Here is a 23766-nt window from a genome sequence, read left to right on the forward strand (position 1 = left end):
TGTACTCCAGCCTGGGCGACAGAGCAAGACTCCGTCTCAAAAAAAAAAAAAAAAAAAAAAAAAAAAAAAAATATATATATATATATATATATATATATATAAAACACAAGCTACTTCGAGCTCCGTTTTCCCTGGGTTTTATCATGGCTTTCGTCTCCGTGATGTCACTGGCGGCTGCGTGGTCTTTTCAGTGAACAGAGGGGCCTGGATGGCGCCTGGATTCCCGCGATCATTGCGCTGGGAATGGAAAAGGGCTGGGACTCGCTAGAAGTCGTTCTGACCTAGCAGCGGCTAAAAGCCTTCTGGTGCCCGGGGAGACGCGCCCGGCGCCCGCGTACTATTCATTCCCTTCCTCATAACTCCACAGCCCAGGCTTTCTTCTTAGTGGGCTTCCCAGATCAAGAAGGAAAACCTTTTCTATACGAAAGCACTGAGGGGCGGAAGGTGGCCTGAAGTGATCTCAGGGCCGCTTTGTTTCCCAACCCAGTCGTTCAGGTCCTCCCTCAGCGCCCTTTGACCCATGCACATCCCATGGGGAAAGCTGCCAGCGCGTTCCAGGGGTGGGGTCAGATTGAGGAGCTGGAGGGAGTGGTCTTTATCTGACTTTATACCACTACCAAACTGTGTTAATTAACGTAGCTTTATAATAAGTCTTGAAGTCCTTTATTCTCCCAAGATTGCTTTGGCTTATTCTAAGGCCATTGTATTTCTAGGTGATTTTGGAATTAGCTTGTCAGTTTTAAAAAAAACAAAACTGCTGGGACTTGTACTGGGCTTGCATTGGATCTATAGATCTGTTTGGGGATAACTAGTATATTAACAATATTAAGTCCTTCAATCCATTTAAGTGGCCGTTTATTTAAGTGGCCTCTAATTTCTCCTGGCAATGTTTTGTAGATTATACACATATTTATACTTTAATGCAGCTGTGTTTGGATAGACTGCAGTATAGAGATCAAACATATCTTTCATTAGATTTCTTTTTGAATAGTGTTTTGAATGCGATGTTAAATAGCATTTTTTAAATATTCTCGTTTGTTGTAAGACTATAGAAACGCTATTGATTTTTACATATTGATGTTACATTCAAGCATCTTGCTAAGTTCCCTTATTATTTGTAATACTGTGTAGAGTCTTTTGGAATTTATGTGATGACAATCTTGCAATCGTGAATAAAGATGGTTTAACTTCTCTGTAATCTTTATACGTTTTAGTTTTGTTGCTGGCTAGTATGTCCACTATTGAATAGAAATAGTGATAATGGACTTCCTTGTCTTGGTTGTAACATCAAGAGGAAAGCATTCAATATCAAGTGCTTTTTCTGCCTTTATTGAAATGTTCATATGTATTTTTTAATAATAATATGTTATATAGTAATTTTAAAAATATTTTTAATAATAATGTTACAATGTAACCAATTACATTGGTTAATTTTCACTTGTTATCTAAATGGCCAGTTGTCCTTCCAGATCCCCATTGATTCCGATTGGGATGGTACTATAGGAGAGGCAGAGCCAGCTAAGGAGATATAAGGTTTATTCAGGACTTACATACAGGGGTGGTCCAGTGGTGGTGGGGTGGCCTGGAGAACCACTACTGTTCATAAAAAAAAGCATGTAGTCTATATAGCATTTTCACTTAGCACCCTCCTTCTAGCAACCTCCATTTAACCCAAAACAAAGGGCCTTGCTCCACTGTACAGCCTGTGTTCTAAGAGATGGAGCAGGGGTGTGGATGTCTTTCATAGATAAGGAGTGAATCTTAGTGTTGGCTACTCCTGGCTTCCTTAGCCTAGGACTCCAAACACACTTAGAATAGGGTTATTCTCAGTATGCTCCAGTTATGGCTCAGCCATACACCAAGGTGTGTACACCAGCCCCTGCCATGCACCAATATGCATATAAATATGAATAGCCTCTGAAAGGGCAAATTCCAAGATTGACCTATAGGTCCAACATGAAAAGTTCTATATTAATAGCTATGTCATGGCCAGGCGCAGTGGCTCACGCCTGTAATTCCAACATTTTGGGAGCTTGAGGTGGGTGGCTCCCTTGAGGCCAGGAGTTGGAGACCAGCCTGGGCAGCATGACAAAACCCCATCTCTACTAAAAATACAAAAATTAACTGGGCGTGGTGGTGAGCACCTGTAATCCCAGCTACTAGGGAGGCTGAGGCACAAAATTGCTCGAACCTGGGAGGCGGAGGTTGCAGTGAGCAAGGTGGCACCACTGCACTACAGCCTGGGCAATAGAGTCAGACTGTCTCAAAAAAAAAAAAATAGCTGTATCATGGACATTGAAATTATGAGATTCCAAAACTACCACCAGAATGGCTTAAATTAAAGGACTTCCAATACCAAGCATTGACAAGAATATGGAGCAACTATATGTTTCATATATTGTTGATGAGAGTTTAAATTAGTTGATCATTTTGGAAAACTGTGTGACACGGTATTAGTCTGTTCTTGCATTGCTATAAAGAAATACCTGAGACTGGGTAATTTATAAAGAAAAAATGTTTAATTGGCTCATGGTTCTGCAGACTGCACAAGAAGCATAGCAGCTTCTGCTTTTGGGGAGCCCTCAGGAAGCTTCCAATCATAGCAGAAGGCAAAGGTAGAGCCGGCATCTTACGTGGCAGGAGCAAGAGCAAGTAGGGTGGGGGGAGGTGCCACACACTTTTAAACAACCAGCTTTCCCAAGAACTCATTCACTGTTGCGAGGACAGTACCAAGGGGGATGGTACTTAATCATTCATAAGAAACCCACTCCCATGATCCAATTACCTCCCGTCAGGCCCAACCTCCAACATTGGGTATTATAATTTGACATGAGGTTTGGGTGAGGGCACATACCCAAACTATATCAGACACTATCTACTAAAGCTAGTTATACACATAACATACTGCCCAATAATTGTACCACTGGGCATATACCTGAGTATTTATGATCATATACAAGAATATTCATCGCAGCATTATCCACAGTAGCAAAAACTGGAAATAATCTAAATGTCCTCAAATTGGATAAAAAAATTACATAGCAATGAATAAGAATGTACTACTACTATACCAAACAATATGGATGAATCCTATATACATAAGTTGAGGTAAAGAAGCCAGACAGAGTATATCATGATTGATTTCATTTATATGAAGATAAAAAACTGTAGTGAGAGGTATCATAAGGGAATCTCCTGGTTGTCAGGGAGGGTGGGGAGCAGGGGCATGAAGAAACCTTCTTGGATGCAGGAAATGTTACATATCTTGATCTGGCTGGTAATCACAGAAGTGTATTGAGACATAAAATTGTATCAAGTTATACACAAGATTTGTGCAGCCTGGGTGCAGTAGCTCATGCCTGTAATCTCAGCACTTTGGGAGGCCAAGGCAGAAAAATTGCTTGAGCCCAAGAGTTCAAGACCAGCCTGGGCAAGATGGGGAGAACTTGTCTGTACAAAAAATAAATAAATAGAAAGCATTAGCCAAGCATGGTGGCATGTGCCTCAGCTATTTGGGAGGCTGAGTCAGGAGGATCGCTTGAGCCCAAGAAGTTGAGGCTATGATCATGCCACTGCACTCCAGCCTGGGCAACAGTGCGAGCCTCTTTGTCTTTAAAAAAACAACAGCAACAACAACAACAACAAAAATGTTTCACTTTATTTATTTTGCAGACTAGCTTGGGGAGAAATGATATCTTTCCCTTGTATTGCCTTTTCCTGTCCATGAACACAATTGCTTGCTTCATTCATTCCGTTTCTCATATCTTTTAGTAAACTTTTATAATTTTCTCCATAAATTCTTGGCATCAGTTTATTGAAACCTTGGGAGGAAGGACAGACAAATACTTAAGAAGTCATTGATAAAATATGTTTTCATATTCAAATGACACAACTAAATATGCCAATGTACTTCGCTTGGTTAATTTAAAGAAGGTGAAGAATAACCATGCTGGATTAGGGGACATTTCTTGAAGGATAGTTGGTCTTCAACTCGAAGAGTGAAAATATTTAGTCACTTATCCTGTGTTACCTAACATCTTCCTATGAAAGGGATCATTTTCATTCATTTGAAAGAGAAAATCTTCCCAATCTAATGTCGAGGCCATCCTTAAGTAAGCGTGTTACACTTGATAATTTCCTTTCGAACTGAATCTAACAAGACTATCTTATTTGTATCTTTTTCACAATAAAGCTTTCCCAAAGAGAGGTTTATGAATTTGTGCACTTTACAAAGTTTTATATACGGATTTGTGCACTTTACAAAGTTATACTTTAATAAAATAGAAAAAAGATTTAAAGCAAAATCACTAATAATCAAAATTTAAAATGTAAAAAGCCATGACATTTACAGTAACATAAAAAATATTAAATACTAAAAAGTAAATCTGACAAGAGATATGCAAGACATGTGCACTGGAAACTATAAAACATTGCTGAAAGAAATTAAAGAAGACTCGGGAGGCCGAGATGGGTGGATCGCCTGAGGTCGGGAGCTCAAGACCAGCCTGAACAACATGGAGAAACCCCGCCTCTATTAAAAATACAAAATTAGTCGGTCATGGTGGCACATGCCTGTAATCCCAGCTCCGCGGGAGGCTGAGGCAGGAGAATCACTTGAACCCAGCAGGCGGAGGTTGCGGTGAACCAAGATTGCGCCACTGCACTCCAGCCTGGGCAACAAGAGTGAAACTCCGTCTCAAAAAGAAAAAAAAAAAGAAAAGAAAAGAAAGGAAAAGAAAAGAAAAAGAAAAAAAGAAAAGAAAAGAAATTGGCCAGGCGCGGGGGCTCACGCCTGTAATCCCAGCACTTTGGGAGGGCGAGGCGGGCGGATCACGAGGTCAGGATATGGAGACCATCCTGGCTAACACGGTGAAACCCCGTCTCTACTAAAGAAATACAAAAAAACTAGCCGGGCGTGGTGGCGGGCGCCCGTAGTCCCAGCCACTCGGGAGGCTGAGGGAGGAGAATGGGTGAACCCGGGAGGCGGAGCTTGCAGTGAGCCGAGATTGCGCCACTGCACTCCAGCCTGGGCGAGAGAGCGAGACTCCATTTCAAAAAAAAAAAAAAAAAATTAAAGAAGACTGAAAAATGGAGAGCTCCTCCAAATTGATGAGTCAAAGACTCAATATTGTTGAGATCTTCCGAGACTGACCTATAGACTCAACATGATCCCAATCAAAATCCCAAGTGGGGCTGTAATCTCAGCTACTGGGGCCTGAGACAGGAGGCCAGAAGTTCGCTTGAGGCCAGGAGTCCGAGACCAGCCTAGGCAATATAACAAGACCCCATCTCTGAAATAAAATAAAACTAAAAATCCCAGAGGCTTTTCCCTTTTAGAAGTTGACAAACTGATTGTAAAATTCAAGTAGAGGCCGGGCACGATGGCTCATGCCTGTAATCTCAGCATTTTGAGAGGCCGACGTGGGCGTATCACCTGAGGTCAGGAGTTCGAGACCAGCCTGGGCAACATGGCAAAACCCCGTCTCTACTAAAAATACCAAAATTAGCCGGGCGTGGTGGCAGGCGCCTGTAATCCCAGCTACTTGGGAGGCTGAGACAGGAAAATTGCTTGAACCCGGGAGGCGGAGGTTGCAGTGAGCCGAGATCGTGACACTACACTCCAGCCTGGGCGACAGAACGAGACTCTGTCTCGGGAGGAAAAAAAAAAAAAAGCAAATTGTACAGCTTTCCCATGAGATGCAAATTCAGTAAGTATGGGGTGGAACCAAAAAATTTGCATTTTAAGAAAAACATCGGCAGGGTACAAGGGCTCACTCCTGTAATCTCAGCACTTTGGGAGGCTAAGCGGGGGCGGATCTCTTGAGCCCAGGAGCTGGAGACCAGCCTAGGCAACATGGCAAAAACCCCTTTCTACAAAAATACAAAAAAAAAAAATTAGCCAGGCACAGTACACACCTGTGGTCCCAGCTACTCAGGAGGCTGAGGAACTCTTGAGCCCCAGGAGGCGGTGGTTGCAGTAAGCCAAGATTGTGCCACTGCACTCCAGACTTAGTAACAGAGCGAGAAACTGTCTCAAAGAAAAAAAAAAAAGGATAACACTGAAATAGTTGGCCTAGGAACCCAGTTTGATGGAGGAATTTGAATGGTAAGCTAAGGATTTTGGACTTTATCCTACAAGTAGAAAGGTATTGAGGGTTTCCATATATGAACATTATGTATTCCCAAGGGATATTTTTATTTGATTTTTTTGAGACAGGGTCTCATTCTGTCACCCAGGCTGGAGTGCAGTGCTGTAATCACAGCTCACTGCAGCCTCAACCTCCCAGGCTCAACAGATCTCCCACTTCAGCCTCCTGAATAGCTGGGACTACAGGCTCTTGCCACCATGCACTGTGATATTTTTACTTTTTCTGGAGATGGGGTCTCACTATGTTGCCCAAACTGCCAAGGGATATTTTAGAAAGACTATTCTGTAAATAGGTGCATGATTGTGATACAATAAAAACATTTTATTTGGCTTTTATCCCTAGGTTCCTGACACCCTAGCTTCTGAAACCTTTGGCATTTAGAAGGGAAGAGCATCTTTTGTTATTCGTAACAAGCTCCTTTCAACCATACCTGAGTTTATGCTAATAAGGTGGACACTTCATGGGTCCCCAGATAGTTTCAGGATGGGAAATGATTTCCAGAGAAACCAACCATGTAATTAGAATTGGAACTTTCAGTCCCATCCCCAAGGAGAGGAGAGGGTGTAGAGATTGAGTTCAATCACCAATGGCCAATGATTTAATCAGGCATGCCTATGTAATAAAAGCTTCATTTAAAAACTCGTAAAATGATGGTGTCTGGAGAACATCTAGGCTGGTAAACACTTTGAGGTGCTAGGTGGGTGGCACATCGTGAGACGGCAGAGCAGCTCTGTTCACTTCCTCCCATTCATTGCTTTATGCATTTTTCATTTGGCTGTTCATGAGCTCTATTCTTTATAATAAATTGACATAAATGTAAACCAGTAAATTGGTTCCCTGAGTTTTGTGTGCTCTTTTAGCAAATTATCCAACCTAAGTGGGTGGGGGTCATGGGAACCCCTGATTTATAGCTAGCTGGTCAGAAGTACAAGTGGAAACCTGGGACTTGCAATGGGCATCTGAAGGAGGGGCAGTTTTGAGAGACTAAGCCCCTTAACCTGTGGGGTCTGTGCTAACTCCAAGTGGTTAGGGTCAGAATTGAACTGAATTGTAGGACAAAGACACCCAGTTGGTGTCAGAACTGGGTGTGGGTGTGAAAAAATCCCAAGCTTTTAGTGTCAGAAGTGTGAGTAAAAACAGTTCATATTGATAAACTAAGAGTTCACAAGCAGGAAGTCACTTGGGAGGCTATTGTCTGTTTTGTTCACTGACCTACCTCCAGCACAGAGAATACTGCCTGCCACAAAATACACACTCATATATGGTTTAAGTGAATAAACGGTGGCAAGAATAACATAGAAAAGACTACAACTAGGATGATAGCTATAGATATAAAAAAGGAATATATGGATACATAAGATATTCTAATGGGGGAAAAACAGGTTCCTCAGTAGCTGGTACTTAGTTAAAACCAAAAGACTAAGCTTTTGAAGTCCTAAGGTTCTTACTATATGACTTTCTTCTCCCTTTTTTTTTTTTTTTGAATACAGGGTCTCCCTCTGTCACCTAGGCTGGAGTGTGGTGGCATGATCATGGCTCACTGCAGCCTCCATCTCCCTGCCTCAAGTGATCCTCCTGCCTTGGCCTCCCAAGTAGCTGGGACCACAGGAATGCATCACTACACCTGGCTAATTTTTTGAATTTTTGTAAAGATGACATCTCACTATGTTGCCCAGGCTGGTCTTAAACTCCTGGGCTCAAGTGATCCTCCCACCTCGGCCTCCCAAAGTGCTGAGATGACAGGCGACAGACACTGCACCCGGACTTCTTTTCCCATCTTTAAAATTTCAGTATTCATGGTAATTGTACACTATTCCAATAACCTTAAATAACAGTGTCTCTAAAAATTCTTATACTATACTTCTTAAAGTAAAAAAAACCCATACACAATTTAAATGGTGTTACTATTATAAATAGAGTTTATCTGGTATCTCCTATAAGGATAACTGACTCAAAAATAATGCAAGATCCTTAATTTTTAAAAAACCATTATGTACTGTATGCTATGGCTGGAATGTTTGTTCCCTCCAAAACTCATGTTGAAATTTAATTGCCAAAGTAAAGGTATTGGGAGGTGAGGCCTTTAAGCAGTGATTAGACCAGGAGGGCTCCACCTTCATGGATGGGTTTAATGCCTTCATAAAAAGGCTTGGCTGGGTGCAGTGGCTCATGCCTGTAATCCCAGCACTTTGGGAGGCTGAGGCGGACGGATCACCTGAGGTTGGGAGTTCGAGACCAGCTTGACCAACATGGAGAAACCCCACCTTTACTAAAAATAGAAAATTAGCCGGGCGTGGTGGCACATGCCTGTAATCCCAGCTACTTGGGAGGCTGAGGTAGAAGAATCACTTGAACCTGGGAGACGGAAGTTGAGGTGAGCTGAGATCACGCCATTGCACTCCAGCCTGGGCATCAAGAGCAAAAATCTGTCTCAAAAAAATAAATAAATAAATAAATAAAAAGTCTTTTGGAAGTGGAAGTGGGCTGTCTTTGCTTTTCTGTCTTCGCCATTTGAAGATGAAGCCTTCTTCCCCTCCAGAGGACACGGTGTTCAGGCACTGTTTGGAATGAGAACCGTCAAACCTGCTGGTGCATTGATATCGGACTTCCCAGACTCCAGAACTGTGGGCAAATCAATTTCTGTTCATTATAAATTACCCAGTCTCAGGTATTCTGTTATAGCAGCAACAAAGAAAATGAACTAAGACACTGATATTCACTATCTATGTGGTGAAAAAACCATAAAACTAACTTATCTAGTTAAAAAGGTTTTATTTAACTAGATTTTGGTATACTAATATAGTATTACACAGCCTTTAAAATCACATTTTGGAAGAATATTCACAAACATGAAAAAATGAGTAAGTGAAAGTTACTTCTGGATATGGGGTATTGGATTACAGAGATTTTAATTTTCATAAGAAAATTTTTCTATGTTTTCCAAGTTTAACTACTAACTGACCTAGTTTCTAACTAGAAAACTTGTTTTCAAAAGAGTGCTTAGGTGGGGCATGGTGGCTTACGCCTGTAATCCCAGCACTCTGGGAGGCCGAAGCGAGTGGATCACCAGAGATCAGGAGTTCAAGACCAGCCTGGCCAACATGGTGAAACCCTGTCTCTACTAAAAATACAAAAAATTAGCTGGATGTGGTGGTGGGCACCTGTAATCCCAGCTACTTGAGAGGCTGAGGCAGGAGAATAGCTTGAACCTGGGAGGTGGAGGTTGCAGTGAGCCAAGGTCACGCCACTTTACTGCAGCCTGGGTGACAGAGCTAAGACTCTGTCTCAAAAACAAAACAAAACAAAAGTGTGTTTAATATTATTGCTGGGAATATTTTATTGTTGTCTAATTTTTACAACTTGGTAATCCATTGTGTGATGTTTAGAAATTGCCATTTGGCCTGCTAGAAAGGAAAAGTGAAAGGATGATATTCTGCAATTCTGACTAATGAAATTTATTTATAAACATTAAGTAATGCTGATGTTCTAGTAATATTCTCTGCACACTTATTCTTTAAGAAACTTTTGCCTGAAAACAGACACTGAGAATTTTTATATGATTTATTTAATAATAAACCAATTAAAGATACAAAAATGTTTAGAGGATTCCAAAATTTAAATTTTTGTTTAAATACAAATTCACTCTGTAATATGAAAACATAGCATTAGACCTCTAAACATAATGATTTTTTTCATCTACAAAAATTTCTGTTATACTAGAAAATTTGCAGAAGACATTTTTTTCTTGTGACATTAAATGTACATTATTTACAGTTGAAAAAGTAATCTAAAAACATTTCATTTCAGAAAGTTGGATATATATGTTATCTTTGTATGCAACCCCCCCCAAGTCCGCCCCCAGTAAAAAATGATCCAAAATATAAAGCAATTATGCTTTTATAACTGACTACTCAGCCAGATTAGCCCAAGGCTCAAGTTGCTTTCTTGGCCCTTAAGAAAGAGTCTTGACTCTCTCAAAATAGCAGTATTCTGTTTAGCACTTAGCAACACAAGTTTACTAATGGACCGCAAAGCACAGTGGCCTAAAGAGTTAGTAAACAAATTATTTAGGAAGAATTTATGGCAGATCTTACCCATAACAGATGAATAAATTTTGTTGGGTCACTTATTTCTCTGCAACATTTTAGCTATTCTTACATTAGGAAATAACCTGATAATGATTTAATTGACATAACTTGAAAATATAGGTATTAGAATTAAAAAAATTAGAACTAGAAGAGAAAGTGGTGATCATCTAGTCTAATCCAATACATCTCTTCCTTTTATGAGAGGAACTAAAGCCCAAAGAGGTCAAGATTACATAGCTAGTTAGTGGGAGTGCCATTCTTAGGCTGATGCTTTTATACTATCCTGCTTCTGAAACAGGGTCAGCCATACCACCAGCACCTCCAATTTTTCATGTTATTCTACATATTCATAGTTCTATATTATATAGTGCAGTCAACTAAAGTCAATCTAAGTGACACCATAATTTTAACAAAGCATAAAATAGGTTTTTTGCATTTGAAAGAGTCAAGACTTAACTTACACAAGTGGAATGAAAATAGTTCCTATATAAATTTCCTGTTGCCTTCTATTTAAGTTCTGTATTTACAAAAGAATCAGAAAATCTAATACAATGTAAAATTAGAAAAGAAACTTTAAAAATGCTTATGATATAGCAACTGAAATAAAAATCTCAAAAGAATGTCTTCATAGTGTAAAATGCCTGTTCCTTCACGATTGAATTCTGAAACATTTAGATAACAAAGAGAAACAGTTGAGTTTTCCTCCCTCATCTAACAAAGTCAAAATTAACTCTATTTTTAACAATTACAAAATTAGAAACCTCCTTAGAATTTATCTTAGAATCAGTCAGTCTGCATATAATTGAAAATGTTCAATTAACAAACAATTATTCATAAGCTTTGGTATATTAACTAAAAAGAGTTGGGTTCCAGCAGTTCGTTTTGTTTCATAGCTACCTGAGAAGTAAATCCATTGGAACTGGACACTACCATCACATAAGGCTGTGGCTGCTGCTCCGTTTTCTCAGTGTTCTCTTTCAAATGATCTTCAGATTCCTTTTTCTCTACTTCCTGTGTAAGAGTTTTTGTTTCTTGAGTTTTGATAACTGAAGTGATTACAGTGCCAGGTGGGTGAGCAACCAGCTGTGAACTGCGAGGAGAAAAGGTCACCACAGGTGCAGTAGCACTGAAGGATGGAGAGGAAGCCACACTGACGGTTCCATTGCAAATGGTCTGAACATTGCTAGTAAGGACCTGCTGAACCTGGGCAGGGCCCAAGACAATTGAAGGAGGAGAGCCCGCCTTTTGTGACTGCAGCATGACATTTTCTTTCAGTACTGTCATGGGCTGTGATGATGGAATGGCTTGTAAAATAAACTTCTGAGATCCAGTACCTGCTGATGGATCTGTGCTGGCTATAACTGTTGTGAGTGGCACTGTTTGGAGTGTTACTGTATGCAACTGCTGATTCCTAGGAGACACAACCACTGGAACTTGGGTTGGAGCCTGTATAGTCCTATTGAGATGATGAAATTAAAGTGAGACAATTAGCATATTCTACATCATTTAAAACTTTAACACTTGACAAGTCATTTTACAAAATACCAGTTATGTGTTTCAAAATGCTGCTTCCCATATTTTCAACAGAGCATGACCAATATCATGCCAGACTTTGTATTAAACACTACATACAGAGATGCCTAACACAAAACTCTCAGGCCATTAACTATGATACCATCTGCTGAGTGCTATGGAAGAAAGGTCTGTACATAGGGCCACATTAACACAAATGAGGAGCTAATTTTGTTGGGGAAGGAGGAGGATGTTAAAATGCTTAGCAAGAAGTTTGCATGAGCTTCTTAAAATTAGGAATTTAAAAGCAAATCTGTTTGATTCATTCCTGCTTTTTTTTTTTTTTTTTTTTTTTTAGATGGAGTTTCACTCTTGTTGCTCAGGCTGGAGTACAGTGGCGTGATCTTGGCTCACTGTAGCTTCTGCCTCCTGGGTTCAAGCCATTCTCCTGTCAGCCTCCCGAGTAGCTGGGATTATAGTCACGTGCCACCACGCCCGGCTAATTTTTGTAGTTTTAATTGAGATGGGGTTTTCTATGTTGGTCAGGCTGGTCTCAAAGTCCTGACCTCAGGTGATCCACCCGCCTCGGCCTCCCAAAGTGCTGGGATTATAGGCATGAGCCACTGTGCCCGGCCTGCTATTTTAATATTTGAGAGATAATGTTACCAACATGCTCATCCACAATAATTACCAAAATTCATATAATTGTATTCAACCTGTTTTTACATATAAAGGGAGAAGTGCTTAATTAACCTAAACAAAAAACCTACCTCAGTCTTAACCATATGACAGAATTCTTAGAATTTTAATAGCTCACATTTCATGTCATATTTAGATGAAACAAGCCATGATTATAATTAACCTGTCAGGGCTCTTGGACTGGTAGAGAAAATATGGCTAAGCTTTGGAAAAATACATAGAAGCATGTTTTAGCAGTTTTCCAGGTTCAAATAATTTTCACAAATTTTGGTCATAAAGCTACAGTTTAACATAAAATCCTTTAATGCAAAATCTAGTTTATGTAGGTTGTTAATCCCACTCATTGAAGAGAAAGTTACATAAATGATATTATGAGTCAATCTAATTTAAAAAGTTCACAGCTCTGAAATTTATAGTTAAGGTTATTGTTAATATAGTATAAAACAAATGGTGTTGAAAAATCTCAGTATCTGGATGTCAACTGTTTCCTTTGAATTCTGTAAAGTTATTTAATGAAAGATACTTGCTATTTCAAACAGCTGACAGCTAGACTAGTCTCCATAAACCAAGCGTTAAATATTACCACTAGATTATTAAAGCTACATTTTGAAAGTTAGTTATGCAGTCTGTTTCTCACATATGAGAAATAAAATAGTGGAGGAGAAAAACAAATTGGCTTGGTGGAAAGATGAAACAAAGACCCAGAGCAATTCAGGACACGTTCAAAAGAAGTGGGAATAAAGACACAGGATGACTAGAGCCCGCCCATTCACGCAGGATACAGATTACCAAACTTAGATGGCCACCCAAGTTCTCTTGCCCATTTGATTCAGGGAAATCTGGGGTGAGATGGGAGCCTGGGTACAGTACCTGACGCTATAGCCAGATACCATTTTTTTTTTTTTTTTGAGATGGAGTCTCGCTCTGTTGCCCAGGCTGGAGTGCAGTGGTGTGATCTCAGCTCACTGCAACCTCCACCTTCCAGGTTCAAGCAATTCTCTGCCTCAGCCTCCCGAGTAGCTGGGATTATAGGCACCCGCCACCATGCCCAGCTAATTTTTTTGTATTTTTAGTAGGAACAGGGTTTCACCACGTTGGCCAGGCTGTTCTTGAACTCCTGACATCATTGGCATCACGTGAGCCACCGTGCCCAGCCCAGATACCATTTTTAAATAAAAAAGGCCTAAGGGCTTCCCATGACAAGAGTTTACATAACATACACATAGATAAAATAGTACTTGGCATATAGTTAGCACACAGATTACATCAATATGCATAACCTTATAATATGTATAACCTTGCCACCCTACAAATATTATCCCCATCTTACATACGAAAACACTGATGCACAAACAGGTTGCAACAGCTTGCATAAGGTGACCAGTTAGAGAAGAAGAGAGGCCATCTGACTGCAGAGCCGATGTGCCGCCTTACCATTACAACAGACTGCCGCCACTTAAGTCCTGAGCAACTTCATCTTTAGTAAATACTAAAGATGAGTATTTATTATTCTATCCTTAAACAATAGGCAGTTACAACTCTCTAATATATGCCTCTCTCATTCTTCTTTCCTTCTGTAAGGTATGACACAAGCAATAATGTACTTGGAAATTTTCCATATTGCTAATCAGGGCTACCACTAGGACTTCGCTGCTTCTGTTTAAATTAGAAAAAGATGTCCTTTTCTTGGCCGGGCACGGTGGCTCATGCCTGTAATCCTAGCACTTTGGGAGTCCAAGGTGGGTGGATCACAAGGTACAGAGTTCAAGACGGCCTGGTCAACATGGTGAAACCCCATCTCTATTAAAAATACAAAAATTAGCTGGGCATAGTCGGGTGTGGTGGCGGGCGCCTGTAGTCCCAGCTGCTGGGGAGGCTGAGGCAGGAGAATGGCGTGAACCTGGGAGGCGGAGCTTGCAGTGAGCCGAGATCGCGCCACTGCACTCCAGCCTGGTTGACAGAGCAAGACTCCGTCTCAAAAAAAAAAAAAAAAAGAAAAAAAAGAAAAAAAAAATTAGCTGGGCATGGTGGCGCGTGCCTATAATCCCAGCAACTCGGGAGGCTGAGGCAGGAGAACTGCTTGAACCAGGAGCTGGGAGGTGAAGGGAGCAGTGTGAGTGAGATCGTGCCACTGCACTCCAGCCTGGGCTACAGAGGGAGACTCAGTCTCAAAAAAAAAGTCCTTTTCTTGAGACACCTGACTGCCATCTGTCAGAAAATGCATACACTTATCTATACCATCTACGATGCAAATATATTGGCTTATTGGAACAAATTCTAAAACAATTTTCAATAATACAAATTCAGAGATTAAATAAAATATTATTAAGTCTTTGCCAACCACAGAATTACTTTCTTCTTAGTTAATGATTAAACTGTCAGTTGCGTCTGGTTGTATTATGTAATACAGATTCTATTACAGCTGACTACTTTTTAAAAATCTCCTAAGCTGCTTGTAAACAACTGGAAAAATATTGCTAATTTACAATTTATCAAAATTTCTGAAACTAACACAGACCATATAACATTTAGCATTTGTTGAGGATCTACTCAGGTGTCAGGTGTCATTTAATTGTCACAGCCAAGTGGAAGGTTAAATATTATCATCTGTGCTTTACAGATAAGGAAACAGACTCAAAATAATTAACGTGATTCAATTTCACATCTAATAATTAGCAAGGCTGAAGAGCTGAAAATTTTTTTTGAGACAGAGTCTCACCCTGTCACTTGGGCTGGAGTGCAGTGGCGCCATCTCAGCTCACTGCAACCTCTGCCTCCCAGGTTCAAGCGATTCTTCTGCCTCAGCCTCCCAAGTAGCTGGGATTACAGGCGCCCGCCACTACGCCTAGCTAATTTTTTGTATTTTTAGTAGAGTCGGGTTTTCACCATGTTGGGAAGGCTGGTCTCGAACTCCTGACCTCGTGATTCACCCGCCTCGGCCTCCCACAGTGCTGGGATTACAGGCATGAGCCACCGCGCCCAGCTTCTATATGCTTTTAGGATAACCTACACATTATACATTTTCACAGGTTTGTTTATTTATTTACTTGAGACGGGGTCTCACTCTGTAGCCCCAGCTGGAGTGCAGTGATGCAATCTTGGCTCACTGCAACCTCTGCCCCTCCTGAGTTCAAGTTATTCTCCTGCCTCAGCCTCCTGAGTAGCTAGGATTACAGGTGCCTGCCACCATACCCAGCTAATTTTTGTATTTTTAGTAGAGACGGGGTTTTGCCATATTGGCCAGGCTGGTTTCAAACTCCCGACCTCAGGTGATCCACCCGCCTCGGCCTCCCAAAGTGTTGGAATTACAGGTGTGAGGCACTGCACCTGGCCAGGATAATTTATTTAAAAGATCCTAAGAAAAATTATTAATGCTTGGATAAATAAAAGTTATGCTAGGTAAAATGGTCTCCAATGTTTACCAAGGGGCAATTTTCAGAAAATAGTTTACCAGCAGTTTATTTCTGTTGTTGTTTCTTTGACTACCATGAAGCCAGAATCAAACTGGCTTCTTTTTGTAAATTTGTAAAAACTGAGCATATATACTGTACACCAATTAAGAAAAGCTTAACTGAATCAACATAGATACATGCAATCACATGAAATAAAAAGAAATGAGTGAAGGACAAAATTAAGATGTTGCTGTTTTACTGTAAATAACTGACAATTCCTGTGATTTATGTAAATCGGTAGGCAGTGTAGCAAGTCATTAACTTCAATGCTTGCAGCTAAACAGCTAGCATTAAAATACTATCTCCACCATCTGCTACATGTGACCAAGTTCCCTGGTCTCTCCTTGCTTCAGTTTCCACATCTATAAAACGGGGATATTATCTATTCTCATTGAGCTATGAGGATTCTATGCCTCACTATATGTAAAGTGTATGAAGTACAAAGAGTGCTCTGTGTCAGCTCTTGTTGTTATATTAATAATTTATCTAATTATATATATAATCATATACATTCCATCTTCTCTCAACCACAGGGAAAAAAGTTAAAAGCCTCTGATTTTATTAATAAGTCATCAAAAATCAAGAAAGATATAGTCAAAGAGAAAAAAAGGTATAAATAAATAGAGAAAACAAATAATGCAAAATGCTATCAATTTGTGAATTTAGGTGGATAGTAAATAAGTGTTCATAGTACTAGCTGAATTTTTCCATACTTTGAAATTTTCCATAGTAAAAGGTTGGGTAATTACAAAAATGCAAACAAAAAATATAAGAAATAACAAAACCAGAACTTGTCCTAATAAAAAACCATTCTAGGCCAGATGCAGTGGCTCACACTTATAATCCCAGCACTTCAGGAGGCCAAGGTGGTAGGATTGCTTGGTTGGTCTTGGTTCAAGACCAACAAAGTAAAACCCCATTTCTACAAAAAATTAAAAAATTAGCTGGACATGCCTGTAGTCCCAGCTATGAGGAAGGCTGAGGTGAGAGGACTGCTTGAGTCCTGGAAGTAGGATGCAGTGAGCTATGATGGTGTCATTACACTCCAGCCTAGGCAACAAAGCTAGCTAGACTTTGTCTCAAAAAAACAAAACAAAACAAAAACCTACTCTATAATATCTACAATTTAGTATCTTTCAAAGCTAGAGTTTTTTGTTTTGGTTTTATTCTCACAGTCTAAAAAGAATATTTTGAATACAGATGCTAAAAAAATTCCATGGAATCAGCTGTGGCCACTGTAGGTCTCCTATCAACACAAATACAAACAACAAACAGCCTAGAAACCAATGGGAGGAACCACACACTCCCAACCAGACACCCAGTCATCACCTGTAACCCACAGGGCCTAGGGAAATATAAAACATTAAGGGGAGAATACGGACAGTAAGAGTTAAATAAGCACCCACTGAGCATCCCAAATCCGAAAATCTGAAATCTAAAATATGAAACTTTTTGAGCACCAATAAGATGCTCAAAGGAAATGCTCACGGGAGCATTGTGGATCTCAGATTTTTGGATTTGGGATGCTGTGCCGGGTAAGTATAATGCAACGATTCAAAATCCGAAACAATTCTAAATCCAAAATATTTCTGGTCCCAGGCATTTTGGATAAGGGCTACTCAAGATATACTCCTTTAATAACAGTTAAAAGATGTAGCATCCAATTAAAAATGTAAAGGTCATCTTTGTACTCCTTGCAAATCAAGTGAAGATTTAAGAGAATATTTTCACAAGGTCAAACATTTTAAATTGTCTATACAAAGAAGACTGAATCTTCTAAGTCTGCCTTGATTCTAGGTAATGTTACCTTACTCCAAGATCAACTGAGCAAAACCTCCACATTTATATTCTGGAATATAAAAATGTAAGACTGAAGTTTGCTAATAAAAGTAATCAAATAATAATTTTTATTGGCTTTGAAAGGGCTGCTAGATTTTATTATGGTTCATGTTCTAGAAATTCATGACAGTATAAACAGAAAAATGCTACAAATATCCATATAATTTTCTGCCTTCCTCCCATACTCCCATTCTAAGTCAGCTGAGACTAGTCCCAAATTTCTGCAGATCAGTCTAAGGCAGACAGATCCTCTCAGTCAATTTGTTGTTTAGCATCTCATCCTGGGGCTCTGAGGCAAATCTGATTTAACTGAAAAAAAAAAAAAAAAAAAAAAAAAAAAAAAACAAACCTACTTTTTCAACTTCTGCCACTCTAAAAGAGGACCTTAGATTCTTGGCCTCCCTTCCTATTTGAACTTTAGAATTGTTCGAAGATAGGATCTTCCAAGGAATAACATTTATTGCTTGGAACTCTATGCACTCTCAATGTCCTAATATGTCAATTTATGTTGAATTTTTGAAGCTTCTGACTTGGCCTGAATAAAGATTTGAAACCCTGGATTTTCTCCCATCTAGATAATTTCTTATATGTATCAATCCAGTTATACAAAGGTGTAGTATTTGACAGAATAATGCCAGTAATGTCAAAATGTAAATAAAGGGACCAGTGGCATAATCAGAGGACTGACATAATAGTAACTGCTCCTGAAAAATCTGGTAACCAAGAATTCTAGCTTGAAACCTTTATACTTTTATTTTCATTTCTGAATCTTGACCCACTTAACAAATAATGTCTCTGGTCAGAAACATATTGAAGTGATAAGCATCAGTAGTTTGGTTTTCTCACCTAATACTCTGAACGGAAGAATTTAATGTTTCATCCTGCATGGTACTGGTTCTAGCTGCTTCTCCCTCTGGGACAGCCTGTACTGGCTGTACTACATGAACAGTCCGGAAGAGCTGGGTAGGATATGGAGACTGCGTGGGCTGCACTGTCCTCAAAACTTCTGATGGTTGTGCAACTTCCACAGGATCTTTGGGTTTTGCAGCTTTAGAATTCCCTGGTTTTAGAACTGTAGTGGCTCCTCCTTTTACCCCTGGACTTGAAGATACTCTCGACCGGCTGGTTTGATTCCTATTTGAAGTGGCTGATGAAGATAGCGATGGATCTGAAGACTCTATGCTGGAACTTGGATCCTCATCATTTATATATATAAGATCTTTTGGCATTTCTTTAAACTGATACACCAAGCGCTGACCTTCCACTTTTGCCAGAATACCCCTTTGGTAATAGTACCTATTCAAAGCAGACAATTTCATCAATCAATCAAACATCAATTAAAATATTCAACAAAATCAAATTTCCCTAATCATAAACAAAACTTTAAAGTTGGAATCAAACTAATGAGAAAAGAATTTCTAAATAAAGGGCTGTTATTTTATATGAGATAAACATACATTTATGCACAGATAGAGATAAGTTCTTATTACCAACTAAATCTAAAACTAATGCTGATTGGGGGACTGTTGATAAACTATGTGGAATCCTCTGGTCTTTCACTTTTCTTCCTCTTTCTGCTAACTTATTTACTTATTTATTTGGAGACAGAGTCTTGCTCTGTTGCCCAGGCTGGAGTGCAGTGGCATGATCACAGCTCACTGCAGCCTTGAACTCCTGGCCTTAAGCAATCTTTCCACGTCAGCCTCCTCAGTAGCTGGGACCACAGGCGCATGCTACCACACGTGGCTAATTTTTGCATTTTTTGGCAGAGACTGGGTTTTGCCATGTTGCCCAGGCTGATCTGGAACTCCCAGGCTGAAACGATCCTTCCTTCTCAGGCTCCCAAAATGCTGGGATTATAGAAGCGAGCCACCACACTCAGCCCCCCTCTGCCAACTTGCCAGGATAATCAAAACTACCAAAAGCCTCAAGAAATTGTTTCTCCTCCACGGCTTTCTAGAAATGTTCCTACTAGGCAAATTTTATCAGTTTAAATTTGATTCAATAAATTTAAATTGGCAAATGTATCAGTTTAAATTTGATTCAGTAAATTTGATTGACTTTTGTGTATAAAATTTAACCATATGCAATAGCAGTGATCCAACTTTTGTCATCTATTTTAACAAAATCAAGAACTTAAAAAGTGTATGTTAAAAAAACCCAAAAACTGTAATTAAAGAGTTTTAGTTTAAGACTGCTAAATTTTATATCTATATCTGTCTATCCCCTAAAAGTCATTCAGATCGTTCTTATTTCCAATACATCTTTCTCAAATACATGCGTATCTTGAAGGATAAATGACAGAATCACCGAAAAACGAACTAAAAGTGAGCTTAAGAATGTTACTCTTGTTCAAAATTCTCATGATTTCTAGTAGTACTCCTGAAGCACTGATTTATTCTACTATAATAACTAACATATCATACTTGCAATTCATGTTTGAGAATGCACCCTCTTTTTTTTTGAGACAGGGTCTCACTCCAGTTGCCCAAGCTGGAGTTCAGTAGTACAATCTGGATCACTGCAGCCTCAACCTCCCGGGCTCAGGTGATTCTCCCACCTCAGCCTGCCGAGTAGCTGGGACCACAGGTGCATACCACCACGCCTGGCTAATTTTTTGTATTTTTAGTAGAGACAGGGTTTTGCCATGTTGCCCAGGCTGGTCTTAAACTCCTGGACTCAAGCAATCCACCGGCCTCAGCCTCCCAAAGTGTTGGGATTACAGGCATGAGCCACCGCACCTGACTGAAAATGTACCCTCTTATTATGTATTTGCATTACCACTATTGGTGCTTTGCTGAACTTAAGCTTAGTATTTTTTTTTACAATTTAGAAAATGATATTCTTAACACAATAAAATACCAAAACTTCGCATACCTGAGTGCTCTTCCCATGGTCTCATAATTCATATCAGGTTTGTTTTTGTGCTTCCCCCACAACCTGGACACTGCTTTAGAATCCACCAATTTAAAAATGCCTTTCTCTCGCTGGGTCCACTTGATGTATTTAGGACAAGTAGCCTTGTCCTGGAGCAGTGCCAGTAAAAACTCCCAAAGATAAATTGTGTTTCCTGAAACAAAAACAATTTCTTTCTAAATGACCAAAATTTCATTTAAAAGAACCTCAAAAAAGACAACTAAAAGTCTTAGAAGTGCCATTTATATTTATACAAAAATATTACATAATTCAGTTAGTATTGGTGACATAATTTAGTTAGTATGGGTGATATAATGGTCATAATTTTTAGCATCTAATAAAGATCTTTTTATGAGTCCCATATAAAATATGTGAACAAAGCAATCTTGTCATAAGATTTGTGATGATTTAGGAGAAAGTACTTTGAGATAATTTTTTTCTGTCTCTTTGTGAACTCTCTCAACAGTAGTTCTCTTTAGATTAGAGCCAGCAGGTCGGCCATAACAGTTTTCTTCAAATTTGGGCAACAGTTATACAAATGCTTGAATTTCAAGACAACATATTAAAGGGTCTATGAACTGAAAATCTAACCTGGTTAAATTCTTCCAAGAGTCTCTTTATTAAATGAAAAGAATAGATTATTTTGACAGGTAAGTGAAAATCACTCAAACGAGTTTCTTGGTCTACTTTACTATCAGTTTTAAGAATTTGGCAAATGTATCTAATAAGCATGTGGCAGCAATAAGATCCACTGCAGTATATCAAGAAAGCTGGTGGTTTCTAGTTATAATAGGTAGGCACTATAAAGCAATCTGAGTGTTATTTGACCTATAAGTATTACACAGTAGTACCCTTTCCATCTTTGTTTTTCTTCTTCACAGATATATTTGGCGTAGTGGCTGGGGAATCTGGTCGTGGTGGTTTAGTTTTTCTTCCTGAAATAAAAACAGCTCTGCATAAATATTTGCCTTCAAAAGTGAGAGAAAATGGACAATTCAGCTATTTTGTCGTTTACCCTAAATTTCAAGTGCCAAATGTTTTTATACATGGGTCACATATACAGGTCTCTTAAAATGCTGTTTACTAAAAGGAAAACAACTTTAATAAAACTTGGACATTAATGCAGGTTAAACCATAAACACACTTATGTAAGAAATGATACCTTTGACACCTCAGTTTATATCTGTAAAAATGAAGTTAATTTAAATTACTATAGCTTGCCTTTGAAGTACCCATACTGGTAGTGCTTTCTTAAACTTTTGGAGAATGCTCTTGACATTGGTAGAACGTGGGCTCCAAAAATAAGCCATACAGTTTTGTCTGCCTATTAATTATACAAGCTTTTTAAGGTAGGAGAAGTGGATTTTTAGCTTTTTTCTCTATTAAATAATTTCTGTATACAGTTAGTTCTCAAGTATAAGAAACTTCCCAAACTCTAGAAATACAGAAAATATGTGAGGCAAAATTTTGGTGAACCACATAGTTAAATGCTATCCTCCTGTGTATTTCTAAAAACATCTCGTTTTTCTGTACCTTTCAATTCACAACAAACTTCATAGTTACCTTACCCACCATCAATGTCTAAATAAGTCCATCCCAATAGCCTCAGAGTGGGGTCGATAAACTATTCTAAAGCCGTATTTGTGATCTTCTTTTGCCAAGTATCTAGAACCATGGCCTAGCAGCGCCACTGCCTTGTATTTAGGTTGAGATCATGATCATGCTGTCTGAACATACTACCATTCTATATGTGAGAAACAATGAAGAGTTACTACCTCCTACCCAAACATCCTTGAGGCTGCCGCTCTGGTTTAGATTACTGTGGTGAATTACAGGTAAATATAACACAGGGCAGGGCAATAACTTAGAAAAGCAGAATTTTACAGCTAAAAAAAAAAATCACAAGGTCAGTGACAATTTATCCCCAGAAATGGAATAGGAAAACATTTCTGAAGTCATTTGGGTGAATGAAAGGAAGGGAGAAAAGTGTCAAAAAGCCCGCTCTTCAGTCTCTAAGACTGCCAAATGTATGCTAGTCAGCCAAGTATCTCGACTTTCATCACTGGAGACATCTGCAGAGAACCCTTCATGAGACAGATTCTTCTGGCTGTGTTCATGACAACCAGTATTAGAAGCCAACACTTCAGTAACCTCCACCTTATTTTATGCTATTAATATATACCAGCTTAAAAAAAATAGATATCGTCTTTATTTCCACTACTTTCCTCCACTAGCTTTAGTCACAACAGATGCTGCCAGTAAAAACTCCCAACCCAGTATCCATCCTCTCCAACATCTTCCTAATCATTCAAGGTGGTAATGTACAAAGCTTCAGGTGAATTACAGCTTGGTTAGATATAGAATTTTTGTTTGGCAGTGGTTTCTTCTCAGCCCTTTGAAGATGTCTAATTCTTCCAGCCTCTCCTGAGAGCTTCTAAACTGCCAATCTAAAAAAAAAATCAATCCTCTTGAAGTAATGTAGTTTCTCCCCGGTCGGCTTCTTTTTTTTGAGTGGGGAGAACTTGAAGAGAGGTCTTTGGTGTTCTGCATTTTTACCAACAATGCATTTAGGCCTAGATTTATTGTAGCTGAACTACTCAGGATTCACAATGCTGAGGATTAATGTGATTCTGGAAAATTCTTAGTCACTATCTCTTGAATATTGTCTCTTCCTCACTTTTTATATTCTGTTTCTGGAACTTTGATTAAACATGTAGACCTTTTCATTTAATTCTCCATGTCTGTAACTGTTTCATATTTTTTAATCCACACTAAATTTACTGGAGTTTACTAATTCTTTCTTAAGCAGTGACTAGTCTATGTTTTAATCCACACATGATGTTTTCAATTTCATTTCATTTTTTTGTTTTTGAGACACAGTCTCACTCTGTCGCTCAGGCTGGAATGCAATGGTGCGATCTTGGCTCACTGCAACCTCTGCCTCCTGGGTTCAAGCGATTCTCGTGCCTCAGCCTCCCAAGTAGCTGGGATTACAGGCACGTACCACCATGCCTGGCTAATTTTTTTCCATATTTTTAGCAGAGATTGCGTTTCACCATGTTGCTCTCGAATTTCCGACCTCAGGATGTCTGCCCGCCTCAGACTCCCAAA

At 39.3% G+C, this 23766-nt stretch overlaps 1 protein-coding gene across 13 annotated transcripts in view, besides 2 other annotated features; it reads right to left on the reverse strand.

Annotated features, from left to right (window-relative positions):
* Nucleotides 1578–1872: a silencer, noted in NCBI's record as "tiled region #5240; HepG2 Repressive non-DNase unmatched - State 23:Low". NCBI's record gives its function as "represses a minimal TATA promoter and a strong SV40 promoter by Sharpr-MPRA in HepG2 cells {active_cell/tissue: HepG2}" and the evidence as "EXISTENCE:reporter gene assay evidence [ECO:0000049][PMID:27701403]".
* Nucleotides 5723–5842: an enhancer, noted in NCBI's record as "active region_7618". NCBI's record gives its function as "activates an Ori minimal core promoter by ATAC-STARR-seq in GM12878 lymphoblastoid cells {active_cell/tissue: GM12878}" and the evidence as "EXISTENCE:reporter gene assay evidence [ECO:0000049][PMID:35858748]".
* ELF1 (E74 like ETS transcription factor 1) overlaps nucleotides 9584–23766 on the reverse strand; it is a 129468-nt gene continuing 115285 nt past the window's right edge. For 12 of the 13 annotated variants that reach the window (NM_001370330.1, NM_001370329.1, XM_047430118.1 and 9 more), the window contains 4 exons: nucleotides 21507–21590; nucleotides 20617–20809; nucleotides 18586–19035; nucleotides 9589–11693 (listed from right to left, as the gene is read on the reverse strand). In NM_001370330.1, the coding sequence (NP_001357259.1) occupies nucleotides 11090–11693; nucleotides 18586–19035; nucleotides 20617–20809; nucleotides 21507–21590 (1331 nt within the window). In that variant the 3' untranslated portion in view covers nucleotides 9589–11089. Of the gene's footprint in view, nucleotides 11694–18585; nucleotides 19036–20616; nucleotides 20810–21506; nucleotides 21591–23766 lie in introns of all 13 variants that reach the window. The other variant, NM_001145353.1, reaches the window with a different exon arrangement.

Source organism: Homo sapiens, chromosome 13 (assembly GCF_000001405.40).
Source record: "Homo sapiens chromosome 13, GRCh38.p14 Primary Assembly".
NCBI lineage: Eukaryota > Metazoa > Chordata > Mammalia > Primates > Hominidae > Homo > Homo sapiens.